Source organism: Homo sapiens, chromosome 15, assembly GCF_000001405.40.
Source record: "Homo sapiens chromosome 15, GRCh38.p14 Primary Assembly".
NCBI lineage: Eukaryota > Metazoa > Chordata > Mammalia > Primates > Hominidae > Homo > Homo sapiens.
The window spans coordinates 43,648,892-43,663,487 of record NC_000015.10 but is presented as its reverse complement, the minus strand read 5'-3'; the positions used below and the strand labels follow the sequence as shown (position 1 = coordinate 43,663,487).

General features: G+C 44.8%; 2 pseudogenes across 1 annotated transcript in view; one reads left to right on the top strand and one right to left on the bottom strand.

The window, feature by feature from the left end:
- The window catches only part of PPIP5K1P1-CATSPER2 (PPIP5K1P1-CATSPER2 readthrough), a 59,470-nt pseudogene that overhangs the window by 26,544 nt on the left and 18,330 nt on the right, over positions 1-14,596 (top strand). Inside the window, exon 29 of the transcript NR_146339.1 lies at positions 13,588-13,761. The product of NR_146339.1 is annotated as a PPIP5K1P1-CATSPER2 readthrough (transcript). The remainder of the gene's footprint in view (positions 1-13,587; positions 13,762-14,596) is intronic.
- On the bottom strand, positions 14,197-14,467 carry PDIA3P2 (protein disulfide isomerase family A member 3 pseudogene 2; annotated as a pseudogene).

Here is a 14,596-nt window from a genome sequence, read left to right as displayed (position 1 = left end):
CAGCCTTAGTCTTGGCTGCAGCCTGGCTGCCCCATCCCTGCAACTCAGGGTCTTAATTCCATAGTCACCATCATCACCATTATGTCACTTTTGTCAGCATCACCACCAAAACACTGATTAAACCTCTCCCTTTCCTATCACATGACTGCCAGGCTGTGTACAGATATGATGGTTCCCCTTCTTAGGATGGGAATAGTGTTTCCTAGATTGATTCCATTTCTTCTCTTCCCCCATACCCCCAATTCCTCAGCTGATATAACTTTGATCTTTCTGTGTTTTCTCCAACTCTTGTTGGGGTGGATGTGGATGACTAGTTTGTTCCTCTTTCGGAGCAATGCTGCAGTTCCCAGCTCCTAAGCCTACTTATATGGGTGTTAGTCTTGAGTATATAGTTTCCCATCTCCGTATTTCTTTCTCCTGTCATTATGTGTATTTTGTGTGGCTCTTGTGCTCCTGACATTTGCTTTATGTTACTACTAACCTATTGCCTGGGCCTAGAAAACAAGAGCCCAGGTTGCTTTGGGATAAAAATAAAAAGAAAGGAGTAGGAGGTAGTAGGTAAAAGAAAAAGGACTGTACCTTGAGTTTTTAAGTGTAGTTTCCATGTGGCACCAGCCTACCTATGATAAAGCTATTGCAGAGAAGTTTGAAGAGTGGAGATGTCTGCTGGGGATTCTGGGGGAGCTTAGGAAGGAATAATATTTTAAGAACATTGAAGAACTGGGTCTGCCCACACTAAGGTGGGAGAGCTTGGAGATCTCTGTAAACCATAAATTGAAGGGTATGGTCTCTTTGTAGGGTATAGCAGGAGAACCCAGGCTCACTCTCTTTCAAAGTTTTATCCTTGGTATCCTTATTTGTCTCTCTGTATTATATTTTGTCTTCAGGGTAAATCTAGGTTTTTTAGGTATGGTTTTCTTCTATTCAAGAGCTAAGACTCTCTGAGGGAAGTAAAACTAGGCTGGCTTCCTGACTAGAAAACCTCTACGTGCTAATCTCCTATTGGCTAGCAAGTGACAGCTGCTAGATTTTAGCCCAGTCAGGTTGTACATCTTCACAAGGCACTGCTGAAATCTCTCCCTAGGTTGACCAGCCTATGCTGGCTCAGTTTATCCCTGCCCCCAGGCTCCCAATTGTGCCTGTGGCAGGAGTTCCCATTCAGAGCCTCATGGGTGTGCCGGCTCATTTAGCTTCAAGCTCTTCTGGCCTTCATGTGCCACAGCCATCTCCAGAATAGAACCTGATGCATGAATAGCATAGCCTGGGACTTGGACTTAGGGTCCACAATATAGTACAAGGAACGTGGGCTCCTGAAATCAGAGCTAAATCACGTATCTCCTAGTTCTTAAGTGCCATGAGAAAAGACCCAAGTCCATTAAACAGACCCTCAGACGTATGTACCTCCAATTCCCCGAAGTACTGTTCAGCAGCCTCACCCGTTGAAGAAGATTTAATTCTGCTAAAAGGAGTTGAGGAAAAAAGAGCTGGAAAATGCAGGTGTTGTGCAGGAAAACAAATTTAAGATCTCCAATGCCCTGCACACTTCCTCAGGGGCCTTGTGGCCTCCTTTGTTTTTCTTGTGCTGGAGCTTGGAGGCTAACATGCTTAAGAAGCCAGAATCTGGGCTCTACCTGTTGACAATAGGAGAAATTTGGAGCTGTATGTCACTTGCTGAGGAAGATTATCTAGATTCAATTTGACCCTCAAGAAATATGAAGGCTCTTCTCCATGGCCAAGATCTTGCTTGACTGACCAGCAATTACAAAGTGGATGTTTTGTCTGTAGTTGCAGGTAAGTCACAGCAGCTCCGTCATCACCATCTCCTTGCCATGATATCTGGCTTTGAAACAGCAGCTGGAAATACTGGACCTGGCTTTGGAAAAGAGGCAAGGCAGTGTGTCTTCACACTTTGATGGGAGAGCAGCCCTCAGCCTTTCTCTGCCTTTGTTCCTAATAAGCTGCTCTTATATCCTGTAACTATATCCAGCACACAAGTATAGCCTGTTACTAAGCTGCACACTGAATTCACCAAAGTAAATTAATAAAGTGGGAAAGACTGTGGCTCACGCTCATCCAGAATGTCAGGGTGTGACCACTGGATTTGTCAAGCCCGTTATCTTCTAGGGACCCATATAACTATGTGACCATTGGTATATACAGTTAGTGCTCACAAGACTAGCCTAGGTAGAGCTGAAATCTGTCCTGACATCCAAGCTAAGGTCTCTGAAGACCACAGTCTCATGGGATCACCTTGTGGAGCCAGTTCTGGTCTGGGAGTTTTGAGCAGTCATCCTGAGCTGCCTTGTTTCTACCTTCTCTATACCAACATCCTGTACTCAAGTTCTTGTCCATCCTCACATCATGTCTTAAGATCCCATATCTTTTCTCTAAGATCTTTTCACTATTGTTCCTCTTACACCCCTCTCCACATGGCTTTGACTGCCTTCAACCTTTTGTAGCTGAATTACATCATCCACAAAGTTTGCCAAATAGCTAAAATGAGGGGTTCAGAATCAAAGCTTTTCCACTCACCAGCTGAAAAAAGTGCAGTTAGACTCACCAGCAGTGGGAAGAAAATATAAAATTATCTAACTTTCAGCTTGTGTAATGGATACAGTATCTCTAAGTCCGGAGTTTTAGTGTACTTTTTTTTTTTAACTGATTGTTTAAACAACAGTAAGGTACAGGATGGTTAGTCAATATTGGTATTTTCACATACTGATTCCATTTTCCACACATACCGTTTTAAAGGAGTTCTACACCTGGTTTCCTGCCAGTCTCCTGTGCCAACTGCCTAATACCATTCCTGTCTTCAGCTATCTTAGAGTGTGGTCCAGAAGGCCTGCCCTAAAAGAGAGCCTTTTTAGCTTGACTGTCTTGATACACAATACCATCACTTTTTCATTTTTATCCCTACTACATAAATCCATTCACCTGAGAATGCAGGCCCTAAGTAGGGTTCATCCAATGATGAGGGATCCTGAAGCTGCAGTCAAGACTCCCAGCTGCAAAACTGCCAGCTCACCCCTGTTCACAATGATGTGACTGATGTCTACAAGCACTGACGGAATTATGCTCAAGGAGCAAGGGGAAGGCATTGCTGTATGATGAGATCTCACTTATCCCTTCTTTCAGACTCATTGTATGATGACACCACTGTTCTTCCCTGCAAGAGATGCCCAGTGGCTCTGACCATCTCTGCTTCTCTCTTAGCTCACCTTGGATCTGAGTGCCCCCACCTCCCAGTAATGCTTGTGCTAGTCAGTGCCCCCCTCATTGTCTCTCCCTCTTCTCTTTCTCTATCTTTGTGCTTCCTGCCGTGGTCCCCTCACCCCGTCCAGAGCTGCTGGATGACCAGCACCCTGTGGTCCGGTTGCTGCGCAGTTTTTCCTCTGACTGTACAGGGGGCCGGCCAGTCTCCTTGGATGCCACGCTGGCGCATCACCTGCACCAGTGCTCCTACCACCTGCGCCTCTTCCGGAACTGGCTGCGCTCAGGCCAGGATGACCCCGAATGCCTCTACGGTACCCCCTGCCACCAAACTGGCTGCTGCCACTACCCTGGCTGGGTCTGACTGCTTTGCTTATTGCACTTCTGGCAGGAGAGCCCACCTATTTCTTTCTCCTATTTGCCCTAAGGTTATGTAACTTGCATTTAGTCACTTGGATGGGATTGGGGCCAGACTGCCTGGTAGCTGTAGCATTGGCTGCTCATCCCCTTCCTATTCTCCTTTCTCACCACCCCCTAATGTTACTCATTCCCCAGTTCTGTTCAATACAGGAGTAATCTCTTGCCTTGGAATCTGTTCTTATCACTCTAACCCTCTACTACCACCATCTTCAAATCCAAATGTTTTTCTAGCCACTCTGAGGAGCTAGAGACAGTAACTTTCCTGCCCTCCTGCCACTAGATCATGGGAGAAATTGAGGCACAGAAGCCTCAATTGTATCCTTGGGGCAAAGTCCAGAGGTTCGAAGATGGTCAGGCTATAATCCTTTTGAGTTACGGGCTTTAGTCACTGGTGAACAGGAAGCTGTCTTGCATAGACTTCGTTGTCCCGTGTATCCTTAGTCCCTTTAAGGAGATGTTGAGGAGGCATAGGAAAGACTGGGGACTGAGATAGTGGTTTGGATGTGTTTTTCTTCATCCTCCAATGGGGACATTTTTTCCATCACCAGTCCCTAGTATTAGGGTTACATATTTATGTTTATCCTTGACCCTACCCAGACTGATAGACCTACATTGGAATTCTTGGGTTTAGAGCAGAGAATCAGTACTTTTTCTTTTTTCTAGGGCATTTGCCTCATTTTTCTGATGAAGTAGAAAGATCCTAGCAAGTCTGGGGTTTTCCAGTAGATCAGAAGGGTGATGCTTTGATGTGATGGAAATTACCAAGAAAGAACTTCCATCCCCTTCCTGATTATGCATGTGGTTTTCCTGGGCTGAGCTTCATGTGTATTGCATGCCCTCCAGTTTGCGTCCGAGTATTCTAGCCTTTCTACTGACATCCTAAATTTGCATGAACCCCTTCTCAGATTCCATGTCCTTCTTAATCTGGTTCTCTTATGCATGATACCCAAAATCTGCTGTTTCTTCCCAGCTCCCTGACCTCCCTATCTCATGTTAGATCTGCAGTTTCACCCCTTACCTCTGGATCCTTGTTTTATTCCCCTAGAAAATGTGAGAGCAACGTTGGTGCTTACTCTACTGGGATTCTGTTTATTTTTCCATGGGACATTGCAAGCTCTCCATAGGTAGCATGAGAGGTGATTTGATTCACCTTGAGGCCTTAGCAGGTAGATGTTTTAGGAAATCTGAAGGTGAGAAAAACAGACTCCCTAGGCGCTCTAAAGAGTTCCTTCTCCTAAGAGTCTTGGATACCCCACACTCCAAAAGCCACGGACTCTCCTGATGGCTCTCAGGGACTCTCCCTGCTTCCTTGGCCAGTTGGGGTATATCTGGCAGGAATAACATTGACTTTGCCCATCTCTTTTCATGCCAGACCCCATTTTACTGTGTTTTGTTTTTTTTTTTTTTTTTTGAGATGGAGTCTTACTCTGTCGCCCAGGCTGGAGTGCAGTGGTCCGATCTTGGCTCACTGCTCTTGGCTCACTGCAACCTCCGCCTCCTGGGTTCACGCCATTCTCCTGCCTCAGCCTCCCGAGTAGCTGGGACTACAAGCGCCCGCCACCATGCCCGACTAATTTTTTATATTTTTAGTAGAGACAGGGTTTCACCGTGTTAGCCAGGATGGTCTCAATCTCCTGACCTCGTGATCCACCCGACTCAGCCTCCCAAAGTGTTGGGATTACAGGCGTGAGCCACCGAGCGCAGCCCATTTTACTCTTACTAAGGATTCTTTAACTGTTTCTTGTAAGATAGTACTCCTGAACTGTACAAAGGAATATAGCAGTCAGAAAACATTTCCAGCTGAAATGTTAATAAATAAAAATACCAAGGCCGGGCTAGGTGGCTCACGCCTGTAATCCCAGCACTTTGGGAGGCCGAGGAGGGTGGATCACCTGAGGTCAGTGGTTTGTCACCAGCCTAACATGGTGAAACCCCGTCTCTTCTAAAATGCAAAAATTAGCCGGGCTTGGTGGTGTGTGCCTGTAATCCCAGCTACTCAGGAGGCTGAGGTAGGAGAATCGCTTGAACCTGGGAGGCGGAGGTTGCGGTGAGCCCAGATCATGCCACTGCACTCCAGCCTGGGTAACAGAGCAAGACTCTGTCTTAAATAAAATAAAAAAAAATAGGCCGGGTATGGTGGCTCACGCCTGTAATCCTAGCACTTTGGGAGGACGAGGTGGGTAGATTACCTGAGGTCAGGAGTTCAAGAGAAGCCTGGCCCAAATGGTGAAACCCATCTCTACTAAAAATACAAAAAAATTAGCCGGGCATTGTGGCGGGCCTGTAATCTCAGCTACTTGGGAGGCTGAGGCAGGGGAATCACTTGAACCCAAGAGGCAGAGGTTGTAGTGGGTCAAGATCGTGCCATTGCACTCTAGCCTGGGCAACAAAGCGAGACTCCATCTCAAAAAAAAAAAAAAACTGTAGTGGAATGTGAAGATATAAAAGACATCAACAGGAGACTTCTTTAACTCCAAATTGCTCATTGAGAAAACTCAACTTCTTTGCTGACATTGTGGAGGGTGACTTTTTCTTTTAAACAAATTCAAAGCAGACACCACAGCAGAGATCCACCCAATTCTTGAGACAGTCAGTGCCTGATGGGATATCTAGTTTTTAGGGTAGCACGTGTAACAACTTAAAGTAGGAAAGACCCCCTTCAATTCAAACAAAAAATTCTATTTTTTTTTTTTTTTTGAGACAGAATTTCGCTCTTATTGCCCAGGCTGGGGTGCAATGGTATGATCTTGGCTCACTGCAGCCTCTGCTTCGTGGGTTCAAGCTATTCTCCTGCCTCAGCCTCCTGAGTAGCTGAGATTACAGGCATGTGCCACTATGCCCAGCTAATTTTGTATTTTTAGTAGATTCGGGGTTTCTCCTTCATGGTCAGGCTGATCTCGAACTCCCAACCTCAGGTGATCCGCCCACCTCGGCCTCCCAAAGTGCTGGGATTACAGGCGGGAGCCACCGCGCCTGGCCCCAAAATTCCTTTTTTAAACCAATATTCTAGTGGCGCACTATTCTCCAACAATTCCCACATTAAATTGTTGCATGACCCCTGTAGTAAAAAGCATTACTCAGATCTGACAAACTCAGACACCCCCAGTTTTTACAAATTTAGTGACACCCCCTCAAAGCTAACAGCATTATCATATAATTGGGAAGAGTTGTTCCTAAGAGAGAACATGAGTTCCAGAGATGTATAAGAACTATCTATATGTGTAATCTGTACTGCCAGTTAGCCCCAGAAATGCCCTGGACACAAAATCTGTCCAAGCTGAAAACAAAATTTGCCATCTCTAGCACATCATTCTGATTCAGGTGGTCTTTACTACAGGACTTTTTTCGTGTAACCCTTAGCAAGTTGTTTGAGGCTAAGAAGCGAAGACCTGAGTCTGAAGCAAATAAAAGTTATATACAACTTTTACTGACATTTTTGAACACGGATAGTATTAAACCAAGGGTCACTGTGCCAGGAGGGGAAAAATTAAGTACTGTAATTATATATATTGAGCTATCCCAAGGATAAAGGAATCACTGTTTACTATGATAGTGATCTGGAGGTTTAAAAAACAAAAAACAAAAACAAAACAAAGAAAACCACTCAAATTGACTGGGCCAGAAATCTTATTTGCTCTTCCTTCTCCCCAACAGATTATTTTGAGTTAGTTCTATCTAAGGAATTTACACCCTTGTTCATTTAAGTCACCCTAAAGTGGAGTATTTACTCAATATTGGTTACTTTCTCACTGGAGTATTGACATTTTATTTTATTTATTTATTTATTTATTTGCAATCTATCACATGATCTTTAATTAACTAACAGTACCTCAGGGTAAATCCAAAAGCTGTTCTTTTTTTTTTTTTTAATACTTTAAGTTTTAGGGTACATGTGCACAATGTGCAGGTTAGTTACATATGTATACATGTGCCATGCTGGTGCGCTGCACCCACTAACTCATCATCTAGCATTAGGTATATCTCCCAATGCTATCCCTCCCCCCTCCCCCCACCCCACAACAGTCCCCAGAGTGTGATGTTCCCCTTCCTGTGTCCATGTGTTCTCATTGTTCAGTTCCCACCTATGAGTGAGAATATGCGGTATTTCGTTTTTTGTTCTTGCTATAGTTTACTGAGAATGATGATTTCCAATTTCATCCATGTCCCTACAAAGGACGTGAACTCATCATTTTTTATGGCTGCATAGTATTCCATGGTGTATATGTGCCACATTTTCTTAATCCAGTCTATCATTGTTGGACATTTGGGTTGGTTCCAAGTCTTTGCTATTGTGAATAGTCCCGCAATAAACATACGTGTGCATGTGTCTTTATAGCAGCATGATTTATAGTCCTCTGGGTATATACCCAGTAATGGGATGGCTGGGTCAAATGGTATTTCTAGTTCTAGGTCCCTGAGGAATCGCCACACTGACTTCCACAATGGTTGAACTAGTTTACAGTCCCACCAACAGTGTAAAAGTGTTCCTATTTCTCCACATCCTCTCCAGCACCTGTTGTTTCCTGACTTTTTTATGATTGCCACTCTAACTGGTGTGAGATGGTATGTCATTGTGGTTTTGATTTGCATTTCTCTGATGGCCAGTGATGGTGAGCATTTTTTCATGTGTTTTTTGGCTGCATAAATGTCTTCTTTTGAGAAGTGTCTGTTCATGTCCTTTGCCCACTTTTTGATGGGGTTGTTTGTTTGTTTCTTGTAAATTTGTTTGAGTTCTTTGTAGATTCTGGATATTAGCCCTTTGTCAGATGAGTAGGTTGCAAAAATTTTCTCCCATTTTGTAGGTTGCCTGTTCACTCTGATGGTAGTTTCTTTTGCCGTGCAGAAGCTCTTTAGTTTAATTAGATCCCATTTGTCAATTTTGGCTTTTGTAGCCATTGCTTTTGGTGTTTTAGACATGAAGTCCTTGCCCATGCCTATGTCCTGAATGATAATGCCTAGGTTTTCTTCTAGGGTTTTTATGGTTTTAGGTCTAACATTTAAGTCTTTAATCTATCTTTAATTGATTTTTGTATAAGGTGTAAGGAAGGGATCCAGTTTCAGCTTTCTACATATGGCTAGCCAGTTTTTCCAGCACCATTTATTAAATAGGGAATCCTTTCCCCATTGCTTGTTTTTCTCAGGTTTGTCAAAGATCAGATAGTTGTAGATATGCAGTGTTATTTCTGAGGGCTCTGTTCTGTTCCATTGATCTATATCTCTGTTTTGGTACCACTACCATGCTGTTTTGGTTACTGTAGCCTTGTAGTATAGTTTGAAGTCAGGTAGTGTGATGCCTCCAGCTTTGTTCTTTTGGCTCAGGATTGACTTGGCAATGCGGGCTCTTTTTTGGTTCCATATGAACTTTAAAGTAGTTTTTTCCAATTCTGTGAAGAAAGTCATTGGTAGCTTGATGGGGATGGCATTGAATCTGTAAATTACCTTGGGCAGTATGGCCATTTTCACGATATTGATTCTTCCTACCCATGAGCATGGAATGTTCTTCCATTTGTTTGTGTCCTCTTTTATTTCCTTGAGCAGTAGTTTGTAGTTCTCCTTGAAGAGGTCCTTCACATCCCTTGTAAGTTGGATTCCTAGGTATTTTATTCTCTTTGAAGCAATTGTGAATGGGAGTTCACTCACGATTTGGCTCTCTGTTTGTCTGTTGTTGGTGTATAAGAATGCTTGTGATTTTTGTACATTGATTTTGTATCCTGAGACTTTGCTGAAGTTGCTTATCAGCTTAAGGAGATTTTGAGCTGAGACAATGGGGTTTTGTAGATATACGGTCATGTCGTCTGCAAACAGGGACAATTTGACTTCCTCTTTTCCTAATTGAATACTCTTTATTTCCTTCTCCTGCCTAATTGTCCTGGCCAGAATTTCCAACACTATGTTGAATAGGAGTGGTGAGAGAGGGCATCCCTGTCTTGTGCCAGTTTTCAAAGGGAATGCTTCCAGTTTTTGCCCATTCAGTATGATATTGGCTGTGGGTCTGTCATAGATAGCTCTTATGATTTTGAGATACGTCCCATCAATACCTAATTTATTGAGAGTTTTTAGCATGAAGGGTTGTTGAATTTTATCAAAGGCCTTTTCTGCATCTATTGAGATAATCATGTGGTTTTTGTCTTTGGTTCTGTTTATATGCTGGATTACATTTATTGATTTGCGTATATTGAACCAGCCTTGCATCCCAGGGATGAAGCCCACTTGATCATGGTGGATAAGCTTTTTGATGTGCTGCTGGATTCGGTTTGCCAGTATTTTATTGAGGATTTTTGCATCAATGTTCATCAAGGATATTGGTCTAAAATTCTCTTTTTTGGTTGTGTTTCTGCCCGGCTTTGGTATCAGGATGATGCTGGCCTCATAAAATGAGTTAGGAAGGATTCCCTCTTTTTCTATTGATTGGAATAGTTTCAGAAGGAATGGTACCAGTTCCTCCTTGTACCTCTGGTAGAATTTGGCTGTGAATCCATCTGGTCCTGGACTCTTTTTCGTTGGTAAGCTATTGATTATTGCCACAATTTCAGCTCCTGTTATTGGTCTATTCAGAGATTCAACTTCTTCCTGGTTTAGTCTTGGGAGAGTGTATGTGTCGAGGAATTTATCCATTTCTTCTAGATTTTCTGGTTTATTTGCGTAGACGTGTTTGTAGTATTCTCTGATGGTAGTTTGTATTTCTGTGGGATTGGTGGTGATATCCCTTTTATCATTTTTTATTGCATCTATTTGATTCTTCTCTCTTTTTTTCTTTATTAGTCTTGCTAGCGGTCTATCAATTTTGTTGATCCTTTCAAAAAACCAGCTCCTGGATTCGTTAATTTTTTGAAGGGTTTTTTGTGTCTCTATTTCCTTCAGTTCTGCTCTGATTTTAGTTATTTCTTGCCTTCTGCTAGCTTTTGAATGTGTTTGCTTTTGCTTTTCTAGTTCTTTTAATTGTGATGTTAGGGTGTCAATTTTGGATCTTTCCTGCTTTCTCTTGTGGGCATTTAGTGCTATAAATTTCCCTCTACACACTGCTTTGAATGTGTCCCAGAGATTCTGGTATGTTGTGTCTTTGTTCTCGTTGGTTTCAAAGAACATCTTTATTTCTGCCTTCATTTCGTTATGTACCCAGTAGTCATTCAGGAGCAGGTTGTTCAGTTTCCATGTAGTTGAGCGGTTTTGAGTGAGATTCTTAATCCTGAGTTCTAGTTTGATTGCACTGTGGTCTGAGAGATAGTTTGTTATAATTTCTGTTCTTTTACATTTGCTGAGGAGAGCTTTACTTCCAACTATGTGGCCAATTTTGGAATAGGTGTGGTGTGGTGCTGAAAAAAACGTATATTCTGTTGATTTGGGGTGGAGAGTTCTGTAGATGTCTATTAGGTCCGCTTGGTGGAGAGCTGAGTTCAATTCCTGGGTATTCTTGTTGACTTTCTGTCTCGTTGATCTGTCTAATGTTGACAGTGGGGTGTTAAAGTCTCCCATTATTAATGTGTGGGAGTCTAAGTCTCTTTGTAGGTCACTCAGGACTTGCTTTATGAATCTGGGTGCTCCTGTATTGGGTGCATATATATTTAGGATAGTTAGCTCTTCTTGTTGAATTGATCAACAAGGCCTTAATTACTTAATTGATCATTAAGTAATGGCCTTCGTCTCTTTTGATCTTTGTTGGTTTAAAGTCTGTTTTATCAGAGACTAGGATTGCAACCCCTGCCTTTTTTTGTTTTCCATTTGCTTGGTAGATCTTCCTCCATCCTTTTATTTTGAGCCTATGTGTGTCTCTGCACGTGAGATGGGTTTCCTGAATACAGCACACTGATGGGTCTTGACTCTTTATCCAATTTGCCAGTCTGTGTCTTTTAATTGGAGCATTTAGTCCATTTACATTTAAAGTTAATATTGTTATGTGTGAATTTGATCCTGTCATTATGATGTTAGCTGGTTATTTTGCTCATTAGTTGATGCAGTTTCTTCCTAGTCTCGATGGTCTTTACATTTTGGCATGATTTTGCAGCGGCTGGTACCGTTTGTTCCTGTCCATGTTTAGTGCTTCCTTCAGGAGCTCTTTTAGGGCAGGCCTGGTGGTGACAAAATCTCTCAGCATTTGCTTGTCTGTAAAGTATTTTATTTCTCCTTCACTTATGAAGCTTAATTTGGCTGGATATGAAATTCTGGGTTGAAAATTCTTTTCTTTAAGAATGTTGAATATTGGCCCCCACTCTCTTCTGGCTTGTAGAGTTTATGCCGAGAGATCTGCTGTTAGCCTGATGGGCTTCCCTTTCAGGGTAACCCACCTTTCTCTCTGGCTGCCCTTAACATTTTTTCCTTCATTTCAACTTTGGTGAATCTGACAATTATGTGTCTTGGTGTTGCTCTTCTCGAGGAGTATCTTTGTGGCATTCTCTGTATTTCCTGAATCTGAATGTTGGCCTGCCTTGCTAGATTGGGGAAGTTCTCCTGGATAATATCCTGTAGAGTGTTTTCCAACTTGGTTCCATTCTCCCCATCACTTTCAGGTACACCAGTCAGACGTAGATTTGGTCTTTTCACATAGTCCCATATTTCTTGGAGGCTTTGCTCATTTCTTTTTATTCTTTTTTCTCTAAACTTCCCTTCTCGCTTCATTTCATTCATTTCATCTTCCATCGCTGATACCCTTTCTTCCAGTTGATTGCATCGGCTCCTGAGGCTTCTGCATTCTTCACGTAGTTCTTGAGCCTTGGCTTTCAGCTCCATCAGCTCCTTTAAGCACTTCTCTGTATTGGTTATTGTAGTTATACATTCTTCTAAATTTTTTTCAAAGTTTTCAACTTCTTTGCCTTTGGTTTGAATGTCCTCCCGTAGCTCAGAGTAATTTGATCGTCTGAAGCCTTCTTCTCTCAGCTCGTCAAAGTCATTCTCCGTCCAGCTTTGTTCCGTTGCTGGTGAGGAACTGTGTTCCTTTGGAGGAGGAGAGGTGCTCTGCTTTTTAGAGTTTGCAGTTTTTCTGCTCTGTTTTTTCCCCATCTTTGTGGTTCTATCTACTTTTGGTTTTCGATGATGGTGATGTACAGATGGGTTTTTGGTGTGGACGTCCTTTCTGTTTGTTAGTTTTCCTTCTAACAGACAGGACCCTCAGCTGCAGGTCTGTTGGAGTACCTGGCCGTGTGAGGTGTCAGTCTGCCCCTGCTGGGGGTTGCCTCCCAGTTAGGCTGCTTGGGGGTCAGGGGTCAGGGACCCACTTGAGGAGGCAGTCTGGCCGTTCTCAGATCTCCAGCTGCGTGCTAGGAGAACCACTGCTCTCTTCAAAGCTGTCAGACAGGGACATTTAAGTCTGCAGAGGTTACTGCTGTCTTTTTGTTTGTCTGTGCCCTGCCCCCAGAGGTGGAGCCTACAGAGGCAGGCAGGCCTCCTTGAGCTGTGGTGGGCTCCACCCAGTTCGAGCTTCCCGGCTGCTTTGTTTACCTAAGCAAGCCTGGGCAATGGCAGGCACCCCTCCCCCAGCCTCGCTGCCGCCTTGCAGTTTGATCTCAGACTGCTGTGCTAGCAATCAGCGAGACTCCGTGGGTGTAGGACCCTCCGAGCCAGGTGCGGGATATAATCTCCTGGTGCGCTGTTTTTTAAGCCCGTCGGAAAAGCGAAGTTTTCGGGTGGGAGTGACCCGATTTTCCAGGTGCTGTCTGTCACCACTTTCTTTGACTAGGAAAGGGAACTCCCTGACCCCTTGCGCTTCCCGAGTGAGGCAATGCCTCGCCCTGCTTCGGCTCGTGCACAGTGCGCGCACCCACTGACCTGCGCCCACTGTCTGGCACTCCCTATTGAGATGAACCGGGTACCTCAGATGGAAATGCAGAAATCACCCGTCTTCTGCGTCACTCATGCTGGGAGCTGTCGACTGGAGCTGTTCCTATTCGGAGTATTGACATTTTAAAGAAATCCTAATTAAAATGGACAATATGGACAGATTATGATGGAATTATTCTTGTTCAGGTACTCTTTTCGTTTGGACAGAGGTATCTGCCGGTACTGAGATGTAAGTGATCAGCTGAAGGGAGAAACTGTACACCATGTGACGGACAAATTGCCTGCCTCAAGAAAGCACTTAGGACCATTCTGCAGCCACTCAGTGACCTTGGCTAGAAACCAATGGCTGTGCGGCGTGAGGTAAGATGAAAGGAAATACCCTAGGGATCCAGGACTTCTGCATTTGGTGAAACGTCCGCTTCCACTACAAGGCTTTGGGATGTCTAGTCTGTAGACTGGAGTAACATTAATACTGACTCATGCAGAAACAATATAGCTACATATTGAACTGGGGGAAGGGGTGGCAAAACCCTCTGCAAATAGGAAGTGCCACAAGAGCACCGAGATAAGGATGAGGCCCTGCGTGAGCGCAGCCTTCGGGTTTTCCTTGGGCCGATCAGCACCGACTCCACCGCTCTCGGCGAGGCACCTCCAGCTCCCGGGAATGAGAAATGTGCCCGCCACAGCAGGGGCCCACAGGAATGAAGGGCGCCGGCGCTGCGTAGGCCCAACAGTTCCCCGCGCCCTCGCCCCCGGCCCCGGCCCAGCCCGGCCCTTCTTCCCCCGCCTTGGCAGAGTGGCGTCATCAGGGGGCGAAAAACCCGACGAGCATGAGGCCCGCAGATCCCGTGTAGGAGATGCGACTCTCGAAGTTGTCGTCCGTGAGTTCGGAGGCAGCGGCGAGGCGGGCCGCGGCAAGAAGCAGCGCCACACCCGGGAACAGCGCTAGGCGGCGGAGGCGCATGGCGGCGAGGTGGGGTGGGGACGGCCGGAAGGGTCGCGGCTCGGCTGGGACTGCGGAGGTCGGGCGCGCGACCACAAACCGGCTGCCTGCGCTGGCGCGTCTGGCCCAGGGGACCTGCAGCCGGAGGTCCCAACCCCCAAACCCGGCTCGGGCCGCTGTGTGGCAGCCGCTGATTGGCTGCGCGTCGCCTTCGTCCGGCGGGCGGGACCAGCTGGTTACCGCTGAGTGGCC